General features: G+C 50.0%; 1 pseudogene, besides 1 other annotated feature; it reads right to left on the reverse strand.

Moving 5' to 3' along the window:
* On the reverse strand, positions 4493 to 4586 carry RNU6-383P (RNA, U6 small nuclear 383, pseudogene; annotated as a pseudogene).
* Positions 16494 to 17011: an enhancer, noted in NCBI's record as "H3K4me1 hESC enhancer chrX:150136026-150136543 (GRCh37/hg19 assembly coordinates)". NCBI's record gives its function as "activates a minimal SCP1, AML or CMV promoter by ChIP-STARR-seq in primed H9 embryonic stem cells {active_cell/tissue: H9 hESC(primed)}" and the evidence as "EXISTENCE:reporter gene assay evidence [ECO:0000049][PMID:30033119]".

A 27173-nucleotide genomic window follows, 5' to 3' on the forward strand; every position in this document is an offset into this window, starting at 1 on the left:
TGATCATAGCTCATTGCAGCCTCAAACTCTTGGGCTACAGTGATCCTCCCACCTCAGCCTCCGGAGTAGCTGGGACTACAGGCACATACCACGATGCCCAGCTAATTTTATTTATTTATTATTTTTAAAAATGTTTTTGTAAGGCCAGGCTCAGTGACTCACACCTATAATCCTAGCACTTTGGCAGGTCAAGGCGGGTGGATCACCTGAGGTCAGGAGTTCGAGTCCAGCCTGGCTAACATGGTGAAACGCCATCTCTACTAAAAATACAAAGAAAATTAGCCGGGCGTGGTGGCACGTGCCTGTAATCCCAGCTACTCAAGAGGCTGAGGCAGGAGAAGTGCTTGAACCTGGGAGGCAGAGGTTGCGGTGAGCCGAGATCGTGCCACTGTACTCCAGCCTGGGCAACAACAGCAAAACTCCATCTCAAAAAAATAAAAATGTTTTTGTAGAGATGGGGTCTTACTAGGTTGCTCAGGGTGATCTCAAGCTCCTGGACTCGAGTGATCCTCCTGTCTTGGCCTCCCAAAGCTCTGGGTTTCAAGCAGCCACTGCACCTGGGCTTCATTCCTCTTATGGCTGAATAATGTTCCACTGTATGGCTAGACTACCTTTTGCTTATTCATTCACCTGTTGATAGACATTTCCATTGTTTCCACCTTTTGGTTATTGTGAATAATGCTGAATGAAATTTGTGTGCAGTTCCTGTTTTGATATACAACTCCTGAGTCCCTGTTTTCAGTTCTTTTGGGTATATACTCTGGAATGGAATTGCTGGGTCATATGGTAATTCTATGTTCAACCTTTTGAGGAATCGAACTGTTTTCCATAGCAGCTGCGCCATTTTACATTCCCACCGGCAGTGTCTGAGGGTTCCTATGTTCCCGTATCCTCCCCATCATTTGGTATTTGGATGTCAACTCGTGAAGGATAGGTTAAGGAGGATGAGTCTGAATGAGACCAGGAGAAGCAGCAGCCAGGGAGAGAGAAGGAAAATCTGGAAGCCAAGGAGACAGCAAGTGGTGAGCAGTATGAGCTGCTAGCAGGATGACTGGTCAGAGGGCTAGGTCTAGGGCAGGGGGCAGGGGCAGGGCCTGGCCAGGCACTTGAGGCTTGGGGGAAGATGAGGGCATGGCAAGGTGTGGACATGTAGCCAGCTGGGAGTGGGTAGAGTTGGTGTGTAGCAGTAGCTGGGGTGGTGAGGTGGGGAGGGCACATGTGTGGGAACCTGGGGTTCAAGATGGGGCTTTTGGCAGGGCTGGAGGACTTGCTGGCAGGAGAAGGGCAATACCCTCCTCTCTGGCTGGGGCTGGAGCATATGCCAAAGGCCAGAGGTCCAGCTGAGCTGACAGCTTTTTGAAAGAGAGACTGCCCCCAGGAAACCTGGTAAAAGCAGCACTGGGAGAGGCAGACCCAGGGCTTGGGGAAACTCAGGAATGCTGGAGAGGTGCCAGCACCCTCCTCACTGTGGAAATGAGGGGTTGGTTCATAGCAGCGCCCTGTGCGCAGGGCCTCTGAAAACCCCAGGGCTCAGCTCAGTGCCTGGCTAATTGTGAGGACTCAATAAATGCATTTGGATGAAGGAATGAAAGCCTGTGAGGAACATGTGAGGTCATACATGAGATCCTGTGAGCTCAGGGACAGGTGGTGGTGGCAGCTGCTGAGGCCATGGACAGCCAGGGCAGCCCAAGAGACGAGAGGCTGGCAGGCCAAAGGGCTTAAGGGTCACTCCCGGCTATGTCCTTCTGCCCCTTTTCCTTGGCCCATTCCTCAATATTTGAGGCAAAGGGCTCGGAAAGACCCACAGTGAGGGTAAAGTTTCGAAGCAGCCCTTTGACAGTGGCCAAGCACTGAGGCCTGAGCCCAGCTGGCAGGGCCTATGCCTGACTCCACTCTGTGGCCCCAAGGCCAGTGGGGCTTGGTGCAGTTGGGTGCCCAGTGGCCCAGTGAGTAGTGGAAGGTCTGATTGGCATGGTAGGCAACCCATGGCACTGGGGTCTCTGAATGCCTTGCCAATCTCCCCAGCCTGGCTGATGGTTTGCTGAAAACAGGAGAGGCTGGACTTCCAGAACTGAAAGGTAAGAGGGAGAATGCAAGGTGGGGTGGAAAGGCTGGGTGCTACGGCTCATGCCTGTATTCCCAGTGCTTTGGGAAGCTGAGATGGGAGGATCACTTGAGGCTAAGAGTTGGAGACCAGCCTGGGCAACATAGTGAGACCTCATCTCTCAGAAAAAAAAAAAAAATTAGCCAGGTGCGGTGGTGTGTGCCTGTAGTCCCAGCTACTTGGGAGGCTGAGCCAGGAGGATCACTGGAGCCTAGGAGTTCAAGGCTGCAGTGAACTGTGATCGCACCACTGCACTCCAGCCTGGGTGACACAGTGAGACCCTGTCTCTAAACAAATAAATAAACGAAAAAGTGAAGCTAGTCTCAGAAAACACAAAAACAGACAAGATGGGGCGGTAGGGGTAGGGGTAAAGTGGGGGCTGATAGTGTCAGGGCCATCCCCCTGTACTGCTTCTTTTTCAAAAAGCATATCACCCTTTCCAAAGCCCTTCCCATGTCCTCTCCTCATTCACAGGAGCCCCCAGGGCCCCAGCTTCCCGCTCCCCATGCACTGAGCCATCCCCCACTACCTGCTGTGGCTGGGGCACCAGAGGCTCTTCCGCTTCACCCAGCTGCCTCCCTGCAGGGTCCCTCTTGGAGGAGCCACCTTCAGTCATTCGTTCTCCAAGCCTATTGCCCATTCCCTCCCCTGCGTCCTCTTCCCCTCCCTTTCAGTTTCCCTTCCCCCTCCATACCACTTTCACCTCTGTCCCCCCTCCTTCTCTGTTTTCTTGCACCACCTCCCCACCTCCCTTCCCTCCTTTCTCTCCAACCTCCAACTCCCCTCTCTATTTCCCTTCCTCCCCAGCCAGTCTCCTCTCTTGGAGGGGGCCCTGTCGCCTTGCGGAGCTGCATAGCATAGGGGTTGCTGCCCCTGGCTTTAGCTTCTCCACTATCCTTCCCCATTCTTCACTGCCAGCCCAGAAAATATGCTATCTCCCTTGCCAGATGGAGGAGGAGGCCAGGATCAAGTCCCCTTCCCCTCCTGCTCTCCTGCCCTCCTGCCTGGGGGGTGGGGAGAGGCATTGGGTCCCAAATGCGGGGCCAGTGGGCATGAGGAGGAAGCCCTTGTCCTTGCCCCAGGAAGCCTACTGCCAGTGTGAGTGACAGAGACAAGCAGGGATAGAATCTGCCGGGGTGTTGGGGCGGATCTGTCTAGGCCTCCCCATCCACCACTCCACGTTCCCTTCCTATACACACCCAATGGCCCCCAGTGCTGCTCAGAATGCCCAAAAAGGAAGGAATGAGGGATGGCAGGGCTGCATGTCACATGGATGCATTCTAGGCACTGCGTGGCTTCTTTCTGCTGGACAAGCTGTGATAAAGGTCGTGCTGGTGGGAAATATTATGGGGTGACTGTCAAGGGCGCCCCTCCACCATTTCAAAGCAAGTCCTCAAGCTGTGGAGGGGCGCACATGTGTCCCTTAGGAGAACTAGGGTGGGGAATGTGAAGAGAAAACAGCATTGATATCAGGCAGTCTGGCCTCGGCCAACATTTATTTATTTATTTATTTATTTATTTTTCTACAGATGGAGTCTCCCTATGTTGCCCAGGCTGGTCTCAAACTCCTGGGCTCAAGGAATCCTCCCACCTCAGCCTCCCAAAGTGTGGGATTACAGGTGTGAGCCACCACACAGGACCTCAGCCACCACTTAAGTGGGTGACCTTGGTCAAGTAACTGACGCCCTTTGGGTCTCATTTTTGACCTCCGTCAAATATTTTGGCCTTTGTGGCCCCAGAGGTGCCTTTTAGCACCGGCATTCAGTGATTACGAGTGACTTTCCTATCTTCCTCAGTCTTCCTGGTGCTGCTTGGCCAGCTGACAAGCAGCCATACTTTCTATTTCTTCAGAGCCTCAGCAACATGCTGGCATTCCCTGCGTACCCTAGAGTGGTTCTCCAAGTGAGCCTCTGGGCCACTAACATCAGTGTCACTGGGAGCTTATCTGTGACACAGATCCCTGGGCCTCCACTCCGGATTTGCTGACTCAGCAACTCTGGGGGTGGCACCCAGTAATCTGGGTTTTAGCAAGCCTCTGGGGTGATTCCAGTGCACAGGGACATCTGAGAACTGCTTTTACTGAACTGTATGTGTTACTGCAGGGAGCAGGGGAGCAGTTAAGCCTAAAGTTTGGGCAATAGACCCATTCCTGGGAGTTGACATTCAGTTAGAGGTTGCACGCATGCACAACACACACACACACACACACACACACACACACACACACACACACACGGTAGCACTTACTCTGTTTGCACAATAGTCCCTGACCCATCCACCCTTCTGTTGTCAGCCTTGAATTAGATTTGTTATTGTATTTTATTTGTTTTAATTATATGGAACACTTCGTGAACTTGTGCAGGGGCCATGCTAATCTTATCTATATAGTTCCAACTTTAGTATATGTGTTGCTGAAATGAGCACTCAAATTAGGTTTGATTACAGCAAAATTAAGGATTCCTTTCCATGAAGGACAGCACAGATAGAATTAACAGACAGACAACAGATGGGGAGAAGATATTTGCTGTTTAAAAGCAACAGGAGATTAATGGATAAAATATGCAAGAACATTCTGCAAAACAACAAGAAAAAGACCCAACAGGAAAATGAGCAAAGCATATGCATAGGCAATTCTTAGGAGAAGAAACTGAAAAGGCTGGCAAGTAAGTATGTGAAGAGATGCTGGGATCCCAGATTCATTAGTAATCGGAGAAATGGAAATGACAACAATGACATAGGATACACACATGTCAGATTGGCAAAAATCAGCTGTATGATGCCAAGTGTTGGCTAGAATAAGCAGAAGGAGGAACCATTGTGTGCCGCTGCTGGGAGTCCTGCTAGATGGATGCAGGCGCTTTGGAGAGCCACCTAGTAGCATTTAGCCAAATCTTGTCTGTGCCCACACTGTCCCAGTAAGCCCATTCTTGGGTATAACCTCAAGAAATTCTCCTGCAGGCCCACAAAGGGACTGAGTATCTTGTGGCTGCTGTAACAAAATATCACAAACTCAATGGCTCAAAACAACAGAAATGTATTCTCTGATACTTCTGGAGTCAAGAGGTCCAAAATCAGTATCCTTTGGCCGAACCCCAGATGTCAGCAGGGCTATGCTCTCTCAGGAGGTTCTGGGGGGTCTCCACTCCTTGCTTCTTCCAGCTTCTGGTGGCTGCCAGCCTTCCCTGGTCTGCGGCTGCATCGCTTTGATGTTCAAGGCCAGCATCTTCGAATCTCTCCGCTCCCTCTTCACTCTGCCTTCTCTGTGTGAGTGTCAAATCTACCTCTGCTTCTCTTTTATAAGGATATAAGAGTAGTGGGCTGAATAATGTCCCCCCAAATTCACATTCACTTAGAACCTCAGAAAGTGACCTTATTTGGAAATAGGGTCTTTGAAGATGTAATTTGTTAAGATGAGGTCATACTGGAGTAGGAGGGGCCCTTAATCCAATTTCTGCTGTCCTTATAAGAGGACAAAAGGACAGAGAGACAGGGAAGACCATGTGAAGACGAGGCAGAGGTTGGAGTGATGCTGCCACAAACCAAGGAACACCTGAGTCCACTAGAATCCGGAAGAGGCAAGGAGGGGATTCGGAGGCACTGTGGCCCTCCTGACACCTTGATTTCAGACTTCTGGCCTCCAGAACAGTGAGAGAGTAGATTTCTATTGTCTTAAGCCACCAAATTTGTGGTACAGTACTTTGTTACAGCAACCACAGAAAACCAATACAACATGTGACTTCCTTTCCAGCCCACCCTGATAACCCAGGATAATCTCCCCATCTCAAAATCCTCAACACGATCACATCCGCAAAGACCCTTTTTCCATATAAGGCAACATTCACAGACTCCAAGCATTAGGACCTGATACCTTTGGGGTCCATCTTGAGCCTGCTATAGGGACCCATGCAAGGATGTTTATTGTACAGAGCCTGTGCTAGGACAGAATTGGAGGCAATCCAGGTGTCCACCACTGGGGAAAAATAGAAGCAAATGAGTGGTTACAAGCAACTCAGGAACACACAGCAGCATGGACAGTTAACACACACAGGGCTCAGTGGAAAAGCACCCAGTAAGAGACTGAACACACTCTCCAGGCCACTACCACTTATGTTTACTGAAAACACACACACACACACACACACACACACACACACACACACCCCTCTACACAGTTTGACAGAGCACACACTTGAGTGGTTGCCACTGAGGGGAGGAGCATTAGAGTGGAAAACAGTAATTAAAAAGACTGGAGAGATGGATAGATTGATTCAGCCAGAGAAGAATCTCACAGACCAATGATGGTGAGATCATGAATTGAGAAGCAACATTACCTGAAAGCCAAACAAACAAACAAACAAACAAACAAATGGAAAGAAAAAGTCTGTGAGAGGTCCTTTCTGGGGAAAGCTGGCCACCTCTGCAAGTGCCTGGTGTGTTTTGCATAAAGACACATGGTCCCCCAGCCTGGGCAACACAGCAGGTAACAACTTGTCTCTACAAAAAAAAAAAAAAAAAATTAATTATCTGGGCATAGACCGGGCGTGGTGGCTCACACCTGTAATCCCAGCACTTTGGGAGGGTGACGCAGGTGGATCACCTGAGGTCAGGAGTTCGAGACCAGCCTGGTCAAGATCGCGAAACCTCATTTCTACTCAAAATTAGCTGGGCGTGGTGGAGCGCGACTATAGTCCCAGCTACTCCAGAGGCTGAGACAGGAGAATTGCTTGAACCTGGGAGGCGGAGGTTGCAGTGAGCAGAGATCGTGCCATTGCACTCCAGCCTAGGCGACAGAGCAAGACTCCGTCTCGGGGAAAAAAAAAAAAAAAATCCGGGCATGGCAATACATGCCTGAAGTCCCAGCTACCCAGGAGGCTGAGGTGGGAGGATCTCTTGAACCTGGGAGGTCGAGGCTACAGTGAGCCATGATGGTGCCACTGCACTCCAGTGTGGGCGACAGAGCCACGCCTGTCTCAAAAAATAAATAAACAAATATAAATAAATAAATAATAAATAAATTAAAAAGACACATTGTTCCTTCAGTTGGAGCAGCAGTGGGTGGCAGCTAGGGACCTTCATCCTTCCCTACTGTTTGGGGAGGGTGGAACCATGTGGCCTGCAGAATGGAGAGAGGACATCCTCCCTAGCAACACCAAGGAACAAAGGAAGCCACACTAATGCCATTTGCTGTTGCCTGCCAGTTGTGTTCCATCTGCTGCACTGAGTGTTCCCTCCCAGCAGCCTTGAGCAGCCAGCTGGCATTGTTGGCTCATCCACTGGTCTTAGTTAGGCTTCCCATTATTTGATTCATTCTTGGAACACACCCTGGCCTTCCTCTTTCCGGATGCAATACTTCTCTCAGTGCCACTTGGTCAAGTAGCAGGGATGAGGCCAGTGGCCCTGGAAATAGGCATCTAAACGGTCGCGAATTCGGAATCAGCTTGGTAAACGGTCAGTCATTTTTAACCCCTGGAGAGGGTTTGGATCTTGTTTGTTTAATGCCCCATTGGGTTCCTCATAGTTCCTTGTAAAGTTCCCTTTGAAAATGCCGTCCTACCATGTACGGTGGCTCACGTCTGTAATTCCAGCACTTTGGGAGGCCAAGGCGGGAGGATTATTTGAGGTCAGGAGTTCAAGACCAGCCTGGCCAACATAGTGAAACCCCATCTCCACTAAAAATACAAAAATTAGCCAGGCATGGTGGCACACGCCTGTAATCCCAGCTACCCGGAAGGCTGAGGCACGAGAATGGTTTGAACCCGGGAGGTGGAGGTTGCAGTGAGCCGAGATCACGCCACTGCACTCCAGCCTGGGCGACAGAGTGAGACTCCATCAAAAAAAGAAAGGAAGGAAGGAAGGAAGGAAGGAAGGAAGGAAGGAAGGAAGGAGAAAATGCCATCCTATCTTGACTATGCTTGGGAAGGAAAGAGAACCTGACTTTTAATGTCTTGTCTGTTAGTACCAAGGCCAGAGGGAAAAGGGGAGTAATATTTTATTATAACCTTTTCTTTATCCTCCACAAAGGCCTTTTAGCAGAACTGACCTTAAATGTTTTAAAATCTAACAACAACAAGAAAAATGTGATGTGGCATTCACCTGTGCTCTTATCTGGGCTCTTCTTGATCCACTTAGGGATTCATATTTCCGGGTTCACCGACAGCTGGTTAACTTTGCTATTCATTCCTGCCCACCTCCTCACACCCACTGTTGCAGTCATACCCACGAGACTCAATTTGCAAATACAGGTGAGGAATCAGGCAGTAATTTTTCATCTCCGAAGATGCCTTAACAGCCTGCTCCAGGTCTGTGCTCTTCATGAGCAAATACTTCATTTGAGCCTCGCCATATTTGACACAGCTGGCAGTCCCTGTTCAAAACTGGAACTAGTGCTAAAAACAAAATTCATATAGAGACAGCAACGTATTCTTAGTTGTTTGCTTGGGAGACAGGGATTTGGCCAAACCAGGCAAGGGAAGATGAGAGAGCAGGCAGGAGTAACTTGCCTTGTTTTCCTCCCCATAAGTGTTCCTTGCTGCCTGCTAAGGGAGGCCTTCAGCCAATCACTCAGCCCCTAGAGGCTCAAGTTATTCATCTGTACAATGAGGTTGAAACTAGACAAGTGTTTTCACACTCTGTTGGTGGAAGGTCCTGGGAGGTGCTTCAGGAGCCACCATTGAGGGGATTTAGCAGGTGGGGATCTGGACCTCCTTTTTCAATCATCACTCCTCTGTTTGCATCTGTTGTTTCTATAGGCAATGATTTCATTTGAAAAGTAATTGATTTCGGTGCTAAGAAAATCATTAGAGACTGAGCATGGTGGTTCATGCCTGTAATCCCAACACTTTGGGAGGCCGAGGAGGATTGCTTGAGCCCAGGAGTTTGAGACCAGCCTGGGTAGCATACTGGGACCCTGTCTTTACTAAAAACAAAACAAAATTAGCTGGGCACGGTGGTGCCCAACTGTGGTCCCAGCTACTTGGGAGGCTGAGGTGGGAGGATTGCTTCAGCCTGGGAGGTCGAGGCTGCAGTGAGCCATGATTGCATCACTGTACTTCAGCCTGGGCAACAGAGGGAGAGCCTGTCTCAAAAACAAACAAACAAACAAACAAAGGAAAAAGCCCATACCTTGGACTAGATGAACTCTAAGGACTCTGTGTTAGTTTCCTGGGCTGCCATAACAAAGTACTACAAACTAGGGGGCTTTGAACAACAGGAATATTTAGCCTTTCACGGTTCTGGAGGCCGGAAGTCTAAAATCAGTATCTCTGGGTTGAAACCAAGGTGCTGGCAGGGCCCTGTTTCCTCTGGAAGCTCAAAGGGAGAATCCATTCCTTGTCTCTTCCAGCTTCTGGCAACTTCCTGCATTTCTTGGCTTAAGGATGCATCACTCTGATCTTTAAGACCAGCATCTTCAAATCTGTCTCTGCTCCAGCTTCACATCACCTTCTCATCTGTGCATCAAATCTTTCTCTGCCTCCCTCATAAGGATATACGTGGTTGCATGTAGGACCTACCCAGATAATCCAGAATAGTGTCCCCATCTCAAAATCCTAAACATGATCACATGTACATAAACCTCATTTTATTTATTTATTTATTTTTGCCATTTAAATTAACATTATTGTGGGTAATAAGAGAGAGAGGAAACAAAACAAGTAAGTTAACACTTACAGGTTTTGGTGATTAGAATGTGGATCTCTACTGGGGGACCAGTTTGTAGCCTACCACAGGCCCTTTCAAAAATCAGGTTCTAAGATCCCCTTTCCCCCAAATAATTCCTATCTCAGTAGCTTTCTATACATTCTTATGTCTTAAAGAACCTAAAAGAAGACCGGGTACGGTAGCTCACGCTTATAATCCCAGCACTTTGGGAGGTCAAGGTGGGTGGATCATGAGGTCAGGAGTTCAAGACCAGCCTGGCCAACATGGTGAAACCCCTGTCTCCACTAAAAACAAAAAAATTAGCTGGGCGTGGTGGCAGGTGCTGGTAATCCCAGGTACTCGGGAGGCTGAGGCAGAGAATTGCTCAAACCTGGGAGGCGGAGGTCGCAGTGAGCCGAGATCACACCACTGCACTCCAGCCTGGACAACAGAGTGAGACTCTGTCTAAAAACAAACAAACAAACAAAAAAACCAAAAAACAAACAAACAAACAAAAAACTAAAAAACAAAACCGAAAAGTACAGCATTACTTTTTATTTAACTCAGGAATAGGGAACCCAAACTTGACTCCTTCATCATGAAAGACTGTAGATTTGAGAGCTGTGCCTGAGCTGAGATGTTTTTATTTCTGCTAAAGTGTAGTGGAGGCTGGGCACAGCAGTTCATCCCTGTAATCCCAGCACTTTGGGTGACTGAGGCGAACAGATCACTTGAGGCCAGAAGTTTGAGACCAGCCTGGCCAACATGGCAAAAACCTGTCTCTACTAAAAATACAAAAGTTAGCCGGGCATGGTGGTACGCACCTGTAATCCCAGCTACTTGGGAAGCTGAGGCACGAGAATTGCTTGAACCTAGGTGGAGGTTGCAGTGAGCGGAGATCGCACCACCACACTCCACTCTGGGCAACAGAGCGAGACCCTGTCTCAACAACAACAACAACAACAAGTCTAGTGAAAATCATGAGTTGGTTTTCGTTTCGCTTTGGTTGGCTTTGCTGCCAGAAGATAGCGTGCACCATGCATAACCACAGGGCAATATAAAGAGAAACACCAAATGCTGGCCCCAGGGCACAAGTTAGGACCACAGGTTTTGGTACCTGCTTCCCAGCTTAAGCTCTTTCCTTTTCCCTGTGACCTGGCAACATCCTGTCCACCCCCTGATAGTGGGGATGACATATGTGAGGACTCCCAGATCCTCAGAATTACCTCACAGGTACCTGTACCTTCTAGGATCTATTTGAAAAATGTTTTGTTGCATAGGTTTTTTTCTCCCTTTATACTGTATTTTTTCTGGTCATAAAAGTAATTCCTGATTCGTATCAAATAGTATAAAGAAGTAGAATTTTTTAAGATACTCTACCTCCAAAAAAAAAAAAAAAAAGAAAAGAAAGAAAAAAGAAATAGAATAAAAGATCACCTGTTGGGCCAGGCGCAGTGGCTCATGCCTGTAATCCCAGCACTTTGCAAGGCCGAGGCGGGTGGATCACGAGGTCAGGAGTTTGAGACCAGCCTGGCCAACATAGTGAAACCCCGTCTCTACTAAAAATACAAAAAATTGGCTGGGCGTGGTGGCAGGTGCCTCTAGTCCCACCTACTCAGGAGGCTAAGGCAGAAGAATCGCTTGAACCTGGGAGGTGGAGGTTGCAGTGAGCCGAGATCGAGCACTCCAGCCTGGGCAACAGAGCGAGACTCCGTCTAAAAAAAAAAGATTGCCCGTTATTTCACCTTTCTAGGACAATCACATTTATTGAATGCTTCCATATGTGCCTGGACCTTGATACAGTGCACTCCATACTTTTTCCCTACAATTGTCACAATAATCCTATGAAGTGGGTATTATCAGACCCATTTTATCAGTGAGGAAACTGAGATACAGAGAGGGTCAGCAACCAGCCCAAGGGTGCTCAGCTAGGAACAGACAGAGTTGAGGCATAAACCCAGGTCTCTCTGACTCCAAAGCCTGTGTGTTTTTATTTATTTTTTATTTATTTTTGTTTTTTTGACAGGGTCTCTGCCCTGTTGCCCAGGCTGGAGTGCAATGGCGTAATCATGCCTCACTGCAGCTTTGACCTGTTGGGCTCAAATAATCCTCCCACCTCAGCCTCCTGAGTAGCTGGAACTACAGCTACAGCATGCACCACCACACCCAGCTAATTTTTTCATCTTTGGCAGAGGCAGGATCTCACTACGTTGCCCAGGCTGGGAGCCTGTGCTTTTGACCTCTGCACCCACCACATGCCCGCAGTACAATTTTGTATTCAAAGCTCTCAAGACAACATGACAGCAAGACTATATGCCCACCAGGACATACCCCCACCAGGATGTATCCTCACCTGGACTCAGTTATATTCCAGCCTGCTCAAAGTCTCATTCTGCAAGGCTGTTGTACCATTCTGAGTTTCTGGAGGTGAAGTGCAGCTGGTGGGGTACTCATATGGATACAAATTGATCAAGAGGTTTGGGAAGCCAGGTGCTGTGGTTCACACCCATAATCCCAGAACTTTGGGAGGTTGAGGTGGGAGGATCGCTTGAGCCTAGGAGTTGGAGACCAGCCTGGACAACAAAGTGAGACCCCATCTCTCCAAAACAAAACAAAAATAGAGGCTTGGGTAAAACAAGATCCGTCAGCAGGGCCTGAGAAGTCTGTCCCCACCCTCGCCATTTGGAGGGAGGGGCAGAGTGGTATATTCCAAAGGCCAGTTCATACACTCAGATCAACCGGAATGGCACCAACTCTATGGAGTGGCTTTGCTGGGGTAGGGGACAGGTGAGATGGTGGGAGATCACTTACACTTCTCTCAGGCTTAAGTGAACTATCTCGCCATCTACATCCACTTTCTTTATTTCCTTTCCTAGAGAATGATGTGCCTCCTTTTCCCCTGATGCTGTATAAACATAGCTCACAACCAACACAGCTCACAACTAACACACCAGCATGCTTGCCAATCAAACGCTGTGTTGCTGTGCTGGCTCATTTCAATCTAAGGCAGGCATTGGCATCCAGGAGTTTGGAGTTTGCTCCAAAGTTTTCTAGTTTTCATTTTGGTGAAAGAGGCGGGCAGTGTGGTGCAGTGGACAGAGCCCTGGGCCATGAGGCAGGAGCCCCGGGTTCTAGGCCCAGCTCTGCCACTAACATTCATGTGACCTTGAGCCAGCTCCTGGCCCTCCCTGGGACTCAGTTCCCCATCTAGAAAAGGAAAAGTTTACATTAGATGCTAATGGTCCTTCCACTTGGAAAGTTGTATGATTCATAGAGTCTCAACACTCTGGCAAGTTAAGAGCTGATTTGAAAACCAACCATAAATATTTAAATTAAGTAGCAACATATGCTGAGCTTATCACATAATCAGGTGTCACATTAGTGGAGCAAGATCTAAAGGAGAGAGGGCAATGCCTGATTTGGTACTCACTTCCCTCCAGATCCCCCAATCAAGTGTTCCAGAAGCCGGATTTCTGTCGAATCCTTAGCTTATCATCATCATTAGCATCACCCAGTTCCTTTTTTTTTTTTTTTGAGATGGAGTCTCGCTCTGTCACCAGGCCAGAGTGCAGTGGTGCAATCTCGGCTCCCTACAACCTCCACCTCCCGGGTTCAAGCAATTCTGGTGCCTCAGCCTCCTGAGTAGCTGGGACTACAGGCGCGTGCCACCACGCCTAGCTAATTTTTGTATTTTTAATAGAGATGGGGCTTCACCAAGTTGGCCAGGATGGTTTCGATCTCCTGACCTCGTGATCTGCCCACCTCGCCCTCCCAAAGTGCTGGAATTACAGGCGTGAACCACCGCGCCCGGGCCAGCATCACCCAATTCTTAGGATTAAAGGCAGAAAGCTGGAGGGAGACACTTCCCAGAGGCCACCGCAGCAGTGGCAGCAGCAACAGCAAGGCCACTGTGGATCTTTCTTTCTCTCTCTTCACCCTTTTTTTCCCTCAGAGCTTTCAGGTTGCTGCACTTATTACCAAATGATGCTGCCCTTCATCCCTGAACACCGGCAAGCTAATTTAATTCTGTTCCAATTTTACTGGGAGCTCCTAGTAAGGAACAAACCCTGCAGGGCAATGGGTGGTCTAGAGAGCTCTGGGAGGTGGTTCCCACCCTGGGGGTGCACCAGGTGTGGTGGAAGAGCCCGGCAGGTACCAAACCACCTGGAACGCCCAGCCCACCCTCAGCTCTGGGCTCTTGCAGAGCTGCCAATCAAGCGCTGTGTTGCTGAGCTGGCTCATTTCAATCTAAGGCAGGCATTGGCATCAAGGAGGCCTCAGGAGGAAGGTGCTGATTGAGATTGAAGAGTAAGCAGAATCTCCATAGAGATAAAGGAGAAAGGGCATTCTGGTCCTCAGGAATAGTGTGAGCAAAGTGCTTGGAGACAGAGAAGTGCTGAGAGGGATCATGAAATGTGTGTGCAGTTGGTGGGTGGGGGAGGTTGGTGGCAGGAACCTGGCTGGAACTGAATCTTGGAGGTTTTTTTTTTTTTTTTTTTTCTGAGACAATGTCTCACTCTACTCTGTTGCCCTGGCTGGAGTGCAGTGGTGCAATTATAGCTCACTGCAGCCTTAATCTTCCAGGCTCAAGTGATCCTCCTGCCTCAGCCTCCAAGGAGCCAGGACTATAAGCACGTACCACCGCACTTAGCTAATTATTTTATTTTTTGTGGAGATGGGGTTTTGCCATGTTGCCCAGGCTGGCCTTGAACTCCTGGGCTCAAGCAATCATCTCACCTTAGCCTCCTAATGCTGGGATTACAGGCATGAGCCACTGTGCCCTGCCTTGAAGGGTCTTTCTGTGGCTTTCTCTCAAGGTAATGAAGAGTCATGAAGGGTTTTATTTTATTTTTTGAGATGGAGTTTCACTCTTGTTGCCCATGCTGGAGTGCAATGGTGTGATCTCAGCTCACTGCAACCTCTGCCTCCTGGGTTCAAGTGATTCTCTTGCCTCAGCCTCCCAAGTAGCTGAGACTACAAGCGCCGGCCACCACACCTGGCTAATTTTTGTATTTTTAGTAGAGACAGGGTTTCACCATGTTGGCCAGGCTGGTCTCGAACTCCTGACCTCAGGTGATCCACCCGCCTCAGCCTCCCAAAGTGCTGGGATTACAGGCGTGAGTCACTGTGCCGGGCCAGAATTTTAAACAAGACAGAAAAATGTGTATTTATAAAAATTCAGCCAGGTGTGAAGGCTCATCTCTGTAATCTCAGCGCTTTGGGAGGCCAAGGTGGGTGGATTGCTTGAAGCCAGGCGATTTGAGGCCAAACTGAGCAGCAAAGGGATACCCTGTTACTACAAAAAAATTAAAAATAATAAAAATGTTTAAAAAGTAAAAAGTTCCCTCCAGATGATAGGAGACGGCTGAGCAGGGAGACGAGTTAAGGGAGAGACAGATAGACGATCTCTGCTTGGTAGTGAGAGGTGGGGAGGAGCAGCTGGATTCGGACATGTTTAGGATTTGCTGGTAGCCTGGATACGGGAAGTGAGGGCGAGGGAAGAGCCAGGCGGGACGCTGGGGGGATGGTGGTGCCATTCTCTAAGCACGGATATGGGGGCCGGGGCCGAGGTTGGGGAATTTAGTTTGGGACACACTGAGGTGAGGTAGTGGCAGGTCACGTAATTGATGACTTCAGCAATTGCCCTCAGGCCCTTTCACCTTTGCTGCCCTTTTCTCTGGCTGTCTGCAGGCAGAAGAGTCCTGAATGGTCACTGACACCGGACTGTACAGAACGGGAAACAGATGCCCTCTGTGCATCTAACCCTCTCCTTGTTTGTTTGCTCACTGAAAACAACCAGGCAGTAAAGCCTGTTACAAAGACTGAGAGGGGAGGATCACTGGAACTCAGGAGCTCGAGGCTGCTGTGAGCTATGATTGCACCACTGCACTCCTGCCTGAGCAAAAGAGTGAGATCCTGTCTCAAAAGAATAAAAATAAAAAGACAGAGAGGCAGAGTTCCAGTTTTCTCACAGATGGCCTGGTATACTTGGACAAAACAGTTGCCTCCTCTGGGTTGCAGTTTTTCCAAAATATGCCAAAACATCCCACGTGATCATTAGGGGGTGCAAGTCAGACAGCAGATACGCAAGCACCAGGCAAACTGTTAAGGAACAAAATGCAAGGTGGCATCATTACCATTCACATCATGTTCTCCGCTTTGAATTGGGCCATTTGCTGTTTCTGTTTACAGTTCCTTACTCTTATCATTTTATCTGATTGTACTTTTCTCTGATAACCAGTGAATCATGCAGACCAGGTAAAAACATAACCAAAAGTAAATGGAAAGTTGAGATGATAGTCTAGACAAATCATGTTTAAAAGAAAGGTTTTTACTTGAAACATCTTGAGGCAGGCTGATCTGAGAGGCACAGTGAATCTGACACCAAGCTGTCCAGAATCACTAGAAAAGATGATTACCAAACAAAGGGGATCTGTTTATGAATACAAACATACCTTTTCAAATTAGCTAGGTGTGGTGGCACGCCCCTGTAGTCCCAGATACTGAGGTAGGAAGATCACTTGGGCCCAGGAGTTTGAGATTGCGGTGAGCTGCGATCACGCTACTACACTTTCAGCCTGGGTGAGAGAGTGAGACCTCATCTCAAAAAATCCAAAAACCCCGAAACAAAAACAAACCATACCTTTTCCAGTTCACTACAAGACCTTAGAATCGCAGCGTCTTCATCCATTCATTCAGCAACTATTCACTGGGCATATACAATGGACTTTCTTCAAGGCATCTGGGAAACATTAGGAGGAAAACCAAACCAAAACAAAACAAAATTTCTGCCCTCTTTTAAGGAGCTTATGCTCCAGTGGCTATTAGTACAAGAAAGAGCCCTGGAGATGATCCAGTATCTAGTAAGACTCGCTGACTGTACAGAACGGGAAACTGAGGACCAGTGAAGCTCAGGAATTTGCCAAAGCCTCTTGAAGCTGTAGAAGAGCAGAGAGCAGAGCCACATCCTATAGCTCCTGGGTTACTAGTCCCTCTACTGTACCTTTCTTGGTTTGGTTTTGGCAACACAGCTGTTTGCCCGATACTTCATGGAGCAATATCACCTGTCCAGCCAGAAGGCAAGGATGCGGGTGACACTCACCTGTCCACTTCCCAAATGCAGGTCCGTTCTGCTGGAGACAAAACTCTCCCACACAGCAAACACTCACTCAGCTTGTACTTTGTGCCAGGCCTTGGGCGGGGCACTGTGGAGGTGGAGCCATTGAGAGGTGAACGGAACTCAGTCCTTGCTCTGGAGGAGCTGCTGCCGGACCCTGGCAGCGCGATGGCCCAAGTGCCCCTCACCGCTTCTGGCACAGACCAAGATACACAGGACCGGCACCCCACCAGGTGTTGCAGCATAAATATTTGTTGAAGTAGGGCTAGCGTGGGTGTGGGTGTGTGTGTTCAGATGCACCCAGCCATGATGCCTTGATTCTACAGCTCAGGTCACAGACAGATGCAATTCCCAGCAAAGGCAACTCTCTTGGTTGTAGAAAAACACAGTTCAAAGCCTGTGCTACCGAGGTTTGGATTTTCCTTCAGTGACTGCTCTTCTGCACTGTCTGAAGAATTAAGAGTGAAATCAAAGGTGACTCTGTTAGAACAGTGAACCCTTCTTGGGCACTTATTTTTGTGCCAAGCATTGCTCTAAATACTTCATGTGTATTAATTTGTTTAATCCCCAGCATTTATAAGGTAGGTACTATTACAAGGCTCATTGTGAAAATGGAGAAACTAGCCAGGCGCGGTGGCTCATGCCTGTAATCCCAGCACTTTGGGAGGCTGAGATGGGTGGATCACTTGAGGTCAGGAGTTCGAGACCAGCCTGGCCAACATGGTGAAACCCTGTCTCTACTAAAAATACAAAAATTAGCCGGGCGTGGTGGCACACACCTGTAGTACCAGCTACTCGGGAGGCTGAGGCAGGAGAATAGCTGGAACCCGGGAGGTGGAGGTTGCAGTGAGCCAAGATCATGCCACTGCACTCCAGCCTGGTCGACAGAGCGAGACTCCATCTCAAAATAATAATAGTAATAATAATAATAAGAAGAAGAAGAAGAAGAAGAAGATACTGGGGTGGAGATAGGTGAAGTCACTTGCCAAAGTCACATAGCTGGTAAGTGACAGGATGCGGAGCCAGCTCCTGCTTTTCCTCGCCACGCCCGCCTGACCTACAGGCAGTGCTCTTCGGACTTCAGTGCTCTCTTTGCAAGTCAAAGCCCTGGCCAGCACTGCATATCGGTCACAGGATTCTAGTGCTTAGAAATAAAGAGGAGGGTGTTCCCGGAACCCACCTCCCTCCAGGTCCCCAGCTGGGCCCTGTGGCAGCCAAAGGGGAGTGCCCTTGGGCCTCCCTCTAGGAAGGAGGTGGATATGCAGCGAATCCACTGCTTGACTGAATTAAGTCCTCTCTTTTCCTCATTCCCCCTCCCCTCAGCCAGGTCCTCTTCCTTGCTTGGCTGAAACAGCCCACAGAGTGCTTGCTTCCTTCTGAGAGGGTGTGCCCTCCACACCTAGCACCCAAGAACACAGGCTTTCCTTTACTTGCTCAGGTCTTCATTCAGCAGATGTTTCCTGGTGTCTCCTGGGCCCCAGGCCCTGTGCTAGTTGCAAGGAAGCCCACGTGAGACAGTCAAGTAATCACCCAGACAGTGGCTGTGGCTGTGAGAAGCACCACAAAGGACCAGACGGAGAAAGGAAAATGCGGACCAGAAGTCGGGGAGTCTCCCAGGGAAGGTGTTGGGGACTGGGCTGAGGTCTGGAGGGTGGGTGGTACTTGTTTAGGCATGAGAGAGGAGGGAGAGGGCCTGAGGCAGTGGAAACAGCGGGTATGCGCCCCCGATGAGGGAAAGGAGAGAAGGCGGAGTTGGTATTAAGAGTGAAAAAGAGGCCAGGCCCGGTGGCTCACTCCTGTAATCCCAGCACTTTGGGAGGCCGAGGTGGGCAGACCACGAGGTCAAGAGATCAAGGCCATCCTGGCCAACATGGTGAAACCCCGTCTCTACTAAAAATACAAAAATTAGCCGGGCATGGTGGCGCGCGCCTGTAATTCCAGCTAATCCGGAGGCTGAGGTGGGAGAATCATTTGAACCCAGGAGGTGGAGGTTGCAGTGAGCCGAGATCGTGCCACTGCACTCCAGCCTGGAGACAGAGTGAGACTCAGTCTCAAAAAAAAAAAAAAAAAAAAAAGAGTGAAAAAGAGGCCACGCGCAGAGGCTCACGCCTGTAATCCCAGCACTTTGGGAGGCCGAGGTGGGTGGATCACCTGAGGTCAGCAGTTGGAGACCAGCCTGGCCAACATGGCGAAACCCCGTCTTTACAAAAAATACAAAAATTAGCTGGGCATGGTGGCGCCTGCCTGAGCTTCCCAGCTACTTGGGAAGCTTAGGCAGGAGAATCGCTTGAACCCAGGAGGCAGAGGTTGCAGTGAGCCGAGATGGCACCACTGCACTGCAGCCTGGTCGACACAGCAAGACTCTGTCTCTAAAACAAAAACAAAATAAAGCAAAAAAAAAGGGCCAGGCACGGTGGCTTACGCCTGTAATCCCAGCACTTTGGGAGGCAGAGGTGGGCGGATTACGAGGTCAGGAGTTCGAGACCAGCCTGAACAACATGGTGAAACCCCATCTCTACTTTAAAAAAGTACAAAAATTACCCGGGCATGGTGGCGTGCACCTGTAATCCTAGCTACTCCGGAGGCTAAGGCAGGAGAATGGCTTGAACCCGGGAGGTGGAGGTTGCAGTGAGCCGAGATCAGGCCACTGCACTCCAGCCTGGGAGGCAGAGCGAGACTCTGTCTCAAAAAAAAAAAAAAAAGTGAACAAGAGGCTACAGAGACAGGAAGGGCCGTGTCTGGGGTCCTTACTGCAATGAGAGGAGAAGCCATTGGAAAACTAACATGATGCTCAGAATTACAATATGAAGAAAGGTCACGCTTGCTATTGGTCGGAGGGTGGCTGGGAGGTAGGTGGGGCACAAATTCAGTTACTTTTTCCCACCCTTACTACCAATATCCCAAATCTAAGCCCACACCAGCTTTGACCTGCAACCTCTCCTAAAGGATCTCTCTGCCTCTGGCCCATCCCCTACAGCAGCAGGGAGGGCTTTCTCAAATAGAGTCTGGACTGGGTCATATCCTTGCTCAAAATCCCGTCATGGGCCTAGCGCGGTGGCTCATGCCTGTAATCCCAGCACTTCGGGAGGCCGAGGTGGGCAGATCACGAGGTCAGGAGATCGAGACCATCCTGGCTAACACGGTGAAACCCCGTCTCTACTAAAAATACAAAAAATTAGCCGGGCATGGTGATGGGCGCCTATAGTCCCAGCTACTCGGGAGGCTGAGGCAGGAGAATGGCATGAACCTGGGAGGTGGAGCTTGCAGCGAGCCGAGAACTCGCCACTGCACTCCAGCCTGGACGACAGAGCAAGACTCCATCTCAAAAAAAAAAAGAAAAGAAAAGAAAAAGAAAATGTGGTACATATACATAATGGAATACTATGCAGCCACAGAAAAGAATGAGATCATGTCCTTTGCGGGGACATAGATGGAGCTGGAGGCCCTTGTCCTTAGCAAACTAACACAAGAACCAAAAAACAAATTCCACAGGTTCTCACATGTAAGTGGGAGCTAAATGATGAGAACACATGGACACAAAGCGGAAAACAGCACACACTGGGGCCTACTGAAGGGTGGAGAGCAGGAGGAGGGAGAGAAACAGGAAAAATAAGTAATGGGTACTAGGCTTAATTCCTCAGTGATGAAATAATCTGTACAACAAACCCTCATGACCCAAGTTTACCTATGTAACAAATCTGCACATGTACCCCTGAACTTCAAAGTTAAAAAAAAGAAGAGTCTTAAATTCAGCTGATTAAAAAAAAAAAAATGCCGGGCCTACCTGTGGTCCCAGCTATGCAGGAGGCTGAGGCAGGAGGATCTCTTGAGCCTGGAAGTTGGAGGCTGCAGTGAACTATGATCATACCACTGCACTGCAGGCTGGGCAACACAGCGATATCCTGTCTCTTTATTATTATTATTTTGAGATGGAGTTTCGCTCTTGTTGCCCAGGCTGGAGTGCAATGACGCGATCTCCGCTCACTACAACCTCCATCTCCCGGGTTCAAGTGATTCTCCTACCTCAGCCTCCCGAGTAGCTGGGATTATAGGCATGCACCACCATGCCTGGCTAATTTTTGTATTTTTAGTAGGGACAGTTTCTCCATGTTGGTCAGGCTGGTCTTGAACTCCCAACCTCAGGTGATCCGCCCTCCTCGGCCTCCCAAAGTGCTGGGATTACAGGCATGAGCCACGGCGCCTGGCCACCTCCTTATTATTTTTATTTGTTGATGTATTTATTTATTTTTGAGATGGAGTCTTGCTCTGTCACCCAGGCTGGAGTGCAGTGATGTGATCTCGGCTCACTGCGACCTGTGCCTCCCAGGTTCAAGTGATTCTCATGCCTCAGCCTCCTGAGTACTTGGGATTATAGGCGCACGCCACCACACCCAACTAATTTTTGTATTTTTGGTAGAGACAGGGTTTTACCATGTTGGCCAGGCTGGTCTCCAACTCCTGACCTCAAGTGATCCACCCACCTCTGCCGCCCAAAGTGCTGGGATTACAGGCATGAACCACCGCGCCCAGCCTGAGATCCTGTCTCTCTCAAAGAAAAATCCTGTCATGGCTTCCCATTGCCTGCTGGTGAGAAGCAGTGGATGACAACCTCTGCCATGAACAGCCTTGGTCTGTCCAGGCTGTGCCCCACCTCTATGTCCCCAGAGCAGCTCTCACTGCACCCCTCCCCTGACATCCCAGCCTTCGGGTCCTCCCACCAGTTCACAGTAAACCTGCCCACAGCCTGGGGTAATTGGCTCGTTTATTGCCCATGGAAAACTCACTAACTCTCTGCATCCATTTCAAAATTACCTCTTTTGTTCATAAAGCCTTCCAGACCCTATGCCACCCACAATCAGACATAAAGCCTTCCTCTCAGCCTTTGCTGGCTCTGCCTGCTTGTCCCTCTATTTGGCATTGGCATTTATTTTATGCACACTCCATTGCAGGTGTGTCTGCCCTCCCTCCATTGCAAGTTTCTTGAGGGTGGGGAGTCTCCCTTGGGAATCTATGGAAGTCCTCTTGCCTTGGGGCCTACTTAGAACATGGTAAAGGAGTGGTCAAGGTCAATGGAAAACGCATTCGCTTGTTCAACAAATTGTAATGGAATGCCTGTTCTGCGCCACATAGAGGGACACAGTGGAAAACAGCAGACTGAGGTCCTTGGCCTCATGGTGCTCACTGTCTCCTGGGAAGCCAGTGTGAAGCTGCTGTACCACAGTGGGCATGAATTGGATGTGGAAAAACTAAGCAAGGAAAAGAGAGGCAGGCAATGTGGAGCTGGGGATTTTGATTCGCAATAGGTTGCTCAGGGAAGGTGACACATTTGAGCAAAGATGGAAGGGAGGTGAGGGCAGGATCCTGGCAGATGTGTGGGAGAGTGTCCCAGGTAGAGGGCAGAGCAAGCAGCAAGGTAGCAAGGTCCTGAGGTGGCTGTTCCTGAGCGAGGTTGACAACAGGGTGAGGAGAGATAGAATCACGTGTGTTTGCTGAGGGGGTTGGGGGGAGAGCAACCTGTGCAAACCCATTGGGAAGACGGGGGCTTCCCCTGAGGAGGTGGGGAGCCCCCAAAGTGTCCTGAGCCCTGCCTCTATGTCCCCAGAGTGCCTCGGGCCCCAGGGCAAGGCATCTGCATTTCATCCGATAGCTGTGCCCCGGGTCCACTCCGGACTTCCTTCATAACAAGGTCTGATTTAGCAGGACCGGTCTGACTACTGTGTCCAGGGCAGAGTGAAATTGGGGAAGAGGGACTGACACTCATAGTCACGACAAATGCCATACTTTTTAGAGTCACACATAAAGGACCTTTGCAAGGCCACCTTTCAGACTTGTTTGCTGTTTGTGGGGTTTATTTTGGTGGCGGGGGAGGGGGGAGGTGGGTGGCGGCAGAACTGGCGTGTTGCCTTGGGGGTACCTTTGTGAAGCCCCACCAGCAATGTCAAGAATGTTGATGCAGCCGGGCGCTGGGCGCGGTGTCTCACACCTGTAATCCCAGCACTTTGGGAGGCCGAGGCGGGTGGATCACCTGAGGTCAGGAGTTCGAGACCAGCCTGGCCAACATGGTGAAACCCCGACTCTACTAAAAATACAAAATCCCAGTGTGGTGGTGGGTGCCTGTAATCCCAGCTACTCAGGAGGCTGAGGCAGGAGAATTGCTTGAACCTGGGAGGTGGAGGTTGCAGTGAGCCAAGATCGCACCACTGCACTCTATCCTGGGTGACAGAGCCAGACTCCATCTCAAAAAAAAAAAAAAAAAAAGAATGCTGATGCTGTAAGAGACCCCAGAGAGCAGCTCCTGCTCCCCTTTTAATGATAAGAATCAGGCCCAGGTGGGGTGCAGTGGCTCACGCCTGTAATCCCAGCACTTTGGGAGGCCGAGGTGGTGGATCACCTGAGGTCAGGAGTTCCAGACCAGCCTGACCAACAAGGTGAAACCCCATCCCTACTAAAAATACAAAAATTATCAGGGTGTGGTGGCGGATGCCTGTAATCCCAGCTACTCGGGAGGCTGAGGCAGGAGAATCGCTTGAACCCAGGAGGCGGAGGTTACAGTGAATGAGATCATGCCATTGCACTCCAGCCTAGGAGACAGAGTGAGACTCCTTCTCCAAAAAAGAAAAAAAAAAAAAAAAAAAAAAAAGGAATCAGGCCCAGAAAGAGGGAATGAGGAATGAGCAGCATTTTAAAAACGGCAACTGTTGTGGATCACAAGGTTAGGAGTTTGAGACCAGCCTGACAAACATGGTAAAATCCCATCTCTACTAAAAAAACAAAAACAAACAAACAAAAAAATTAGCCAGGCGTGGTGGCGGGCGCCTGTAATCTCAGCTACTCAGGAGGCTGAGGCAGAATTGCTTGAACCCGGGAGGTGGAGGTTGCAGTGAGCCAAGATCGCGACACTGCACTCCAGCCTGGGCGACAGCGTGAGACTCCATCTCAAAAAAAAAAAAAGAATTAAAAATGGCAACTGCAGGCCAGGCATGGTGGTTCACGCCTGTAATCCCAGCACTTTGGGAGGCCGAGGTGGGCAGATCACCTGAGGTCCAGAGACTAGCCTGACCAACATGGAGAAACCCCATCTCTCTGAAAAATACGAAATTAACTGGGTGTGGTGGCAGGCGCCTGTAGTCCCAGCTACCCAGGAGGCTGAGGCAGGAGAATCGCTTGAACCCAGGAAGCAAGAGGTTGAGGTGAGCCAAGATCACACCATTGCACTCCAGCCTGGGCAACAAGAGTGAAACTCCGTCTCAAAAAAAAAAAAAAAAAGGCTGGGTGCGGTGGCTCATGCCTGTAATCCCACCACTTGGGGAGGCCGAGGCAGGCGGATCACTTGAGGTCAGGAGTTTGAGACCAGCCTGGCCAATGTGGAGAAACCCTGCCTCTACTGAAAATATAAAAATTAGCCAAGTGTGGTGGCACATGTCTGTAATCTCAGCTACTTGGGAGGCTGAGACAGGAGAATCGCTTGAACCCGGGAGGCGGAGGTTACGGTGAGCAAAGCTTGCTGCCATTGCACTCCAGCCTGGGCAACAAGAGCAAGACTCTGTCTCAAAAATAAATAAATAATAATAAAAATGATTTTTAAAATGGCAACTGCAATCCCATTTAGAGAGTGGCTCCTCCTCTCCCCACTGCAGGAATCCTTTCAGTTCAGGTAAAGAGAAACAGCTTGTACCTTTACATTACACATTACACGGGGTAGACACAGAAGGGCCTCAGTCACTAGCCAGACGGAAACTTGGTGTGGGTGGAGGGTGGGGACTACAGTCTGCTGCGTGTGCAGGCCTTCTGGATGGGATGGGGCTTGGAGGTGAGAATCTAGAATGGGTAACCCAGCAGCATGGTGAAGACTTCAAGGCGGGACAAGGCAGGGCTGTTCGGTAATGTGGTGGCTGGTGGGAGCTATCCCATTGGAGAGTCCCCTCTCTTCTGCTCCCTTCCCCTCCTCTGAAGGAGACCGGTGCCTAGAAGGTCAAGGGCCCTTCAGTTTCATCTCCATCTTCCCCACAGGACCCGGCCGGCCTGGCACGTCACTGGCCCTTGATGGGCTTTTGTAGATTAGGATTGTATTCCCACAAGGCGCCGGCGTGGAGAGTAAAAAGTAGGAAATCCTTTGGTCACTGACCCACTTCCCGCTTTTCATTCAATATGAAAGGAACCCAGAGCAGGGACGCGGTGGCGCTGGTGCTGCTGAAGAGGCCTGTGTCGTGCTGAACAGCCCTGGCTTCTGCGCTCCTTTCTCTTCCTTGTCCCAGCCCTGGGCAAGAGCAGTGCTGTGGGAGGGAGCCGCCCCGGTGGCTCCTTTCCCACCGTCCCCGGCAGCCTCCGGGGTCTGGTGGGGAGGGGGTGAGGGAATTCGGGAGGGGCAACGGGCGCAGCCATCTGGTGAAATGCAGACGCCCGGTCCCGGTCCCGGTCGGGCGCCGTGGCTCACGTCTGTAATCCCAACACTTTAGGAGGCCGAGGTGGGTGGATCACCTGAGGTCAGGAGTTCGAGACCAGCCTGGCCAACATGGTGAAACTCCGTCTCTACTAAAAATACAAAAATTAGGCCGGGCGCGGTGGCTCAAGCCTGTAATCCCAGCACTTTGAGAGGCCAAGGCGGGCAGATCACGAGGCCAGGAGTTCAAGACCAGCCTGGCCAACATGGTGAAACCCCGTCTCTACTAAAAATACAAAAATTAGCCGGGCGCGGTGGCTACCCGGGAGGCTGAGGCAGGAGAATTGCTTGAATTCAGGAGGCGGAGGTTGCAGTGAGCCGAGATCGCACCACTGCACTCCAGCCTGGGCGACAGAGCAAGACTCCGTCTCAAAAAAAAAAAAAAAATTAGCGGGCCGTGGTGGCGGGCGCCTGTAATCCCATCTACTCGGGAGGCTGAGGCTGGAGAATCGCTTGAACCCAGGAGGCAGAGGCTGCAGTGAGCCAAGATAGCGCCCTTGAACTCCAGCTTAGACGACAGAAGCGAAACTCCGTCTCAAAGAAAGAAAGAAAGAGGCCGGTCGCGGTGGCTCACGTCGGTAATCCCAGCACTTTGGGAGGCCGAGGCGGGCGGATCACGAGGTCAGGAGATTGAGACCATCCTGGCTAACACGGCGAAACCCCGTCTCTAATAAAAATACAAAAAATTAGCCAGGCGTGGTGGCCGGCTTCTGTAGTCTCAGCTAGTCGGGAGGCTGAGGCAGGAGAATGGCGTGAACCCGGGAGGGGGAGCTTGCAGTGAGCCGAGATTGGGCCACTGCACTCCAGCCTGGGTGACAGAGCGAGACTCCGTCTCAAAAAAGAAAGAAAGAGAGAGACAGAGAGAAGGAAAGAAAGAAAGAAAGAGAGAGAGAAAGAAAGAGAGAGACAGAGAGAAGGAAAGAAAGAAAGAGAGAAAGAAAGAAAGAAAGAAGGAAGGAAGGAAGGAAGGAAGGAAGGAAGGAAAGAAAGAAAGAAAGAAAGAAAGAAAGAAAGAAAGAAAGAAAGAAAGAAAGAAAGAAAGAAAGAAAGAAAGAAAATGCAGACACCCACGTCGCTTGGGGCCCGAGGCGCCGTCGAGGCTCTAGGTACCCGCGGCCTGAACTGTGCGATGTGGGCAGGAGAGGTGGTGGAGGCCAGCTTCAGCCACCGGGTTCCCCGCGGGTCTCTCTCGGCTTCTGTTTGGAACCAGAAAACCTCTTCTCAAGGGTGCTGGCTGCTCTCGCCAGCTCACCAAAGGCCGCGGCACCCACAGTGGAGCTAAGCTATCGAGAGCTACCAAGTGTGGCACCTAGTAAAGGCCAAGAGACCAGAGTTCCCGCCCTGGCTCAGCCACTGACCCATGTGGGGACTTCAGCAAATCTCCAGGCGTTGGGCCCTCTGTGCCACGAGGAGGCTGGGTTGGAGGGCCTGGAAGAGTCTTCCCAGTGGTGCAGCTCTGCAGATCCATTCTAATAGAGAACCACCTCTGAGAAGGTTTTCCCCTCTATGGGAAAAACAAGTAGAGTTGGAATGCAATTCCCACCAAAGAGCAGACGGTGAGGGGAGGGGACCCGGGGCTGGTAACAGGGAGGGGTGAGGGGAGGCACCTCGTGGTGAAGTAGTTCACAGGAGGCTAAGCGGTGTGCGGCAGGGGCCCTGAGAAGGCCTGGAAGCCAGTCAAGACTCCCTATCCCTGAAGATCTGCACTTATAAGGACTCCATATTTACAAAGGTTCCTAGGTGCCATATTGAAAGATCTTGTTTCATTGTAGGGTCTTCACAGCAAGTTCCCTTAATACTTATATATAAGATTTTATTTTATTTTTTTGGCTTTGTTGTTGCTGTTGTTGTTTTGTTTTGCTTGTTTGTTTTTG

This window comes from Homo sapiens, chromosome X, assembly GCF_000001405.40.
Source record: "Homo sapiens chromosome X, GRCh38.p14 Primary Assembly".
Classification (NCBI taxonomy): domain Eukaryota; kingdom Metazoa; phylum Chordata; class Mammalia; order Primates; family Hominidae; genus Homo; species Homo sapiens.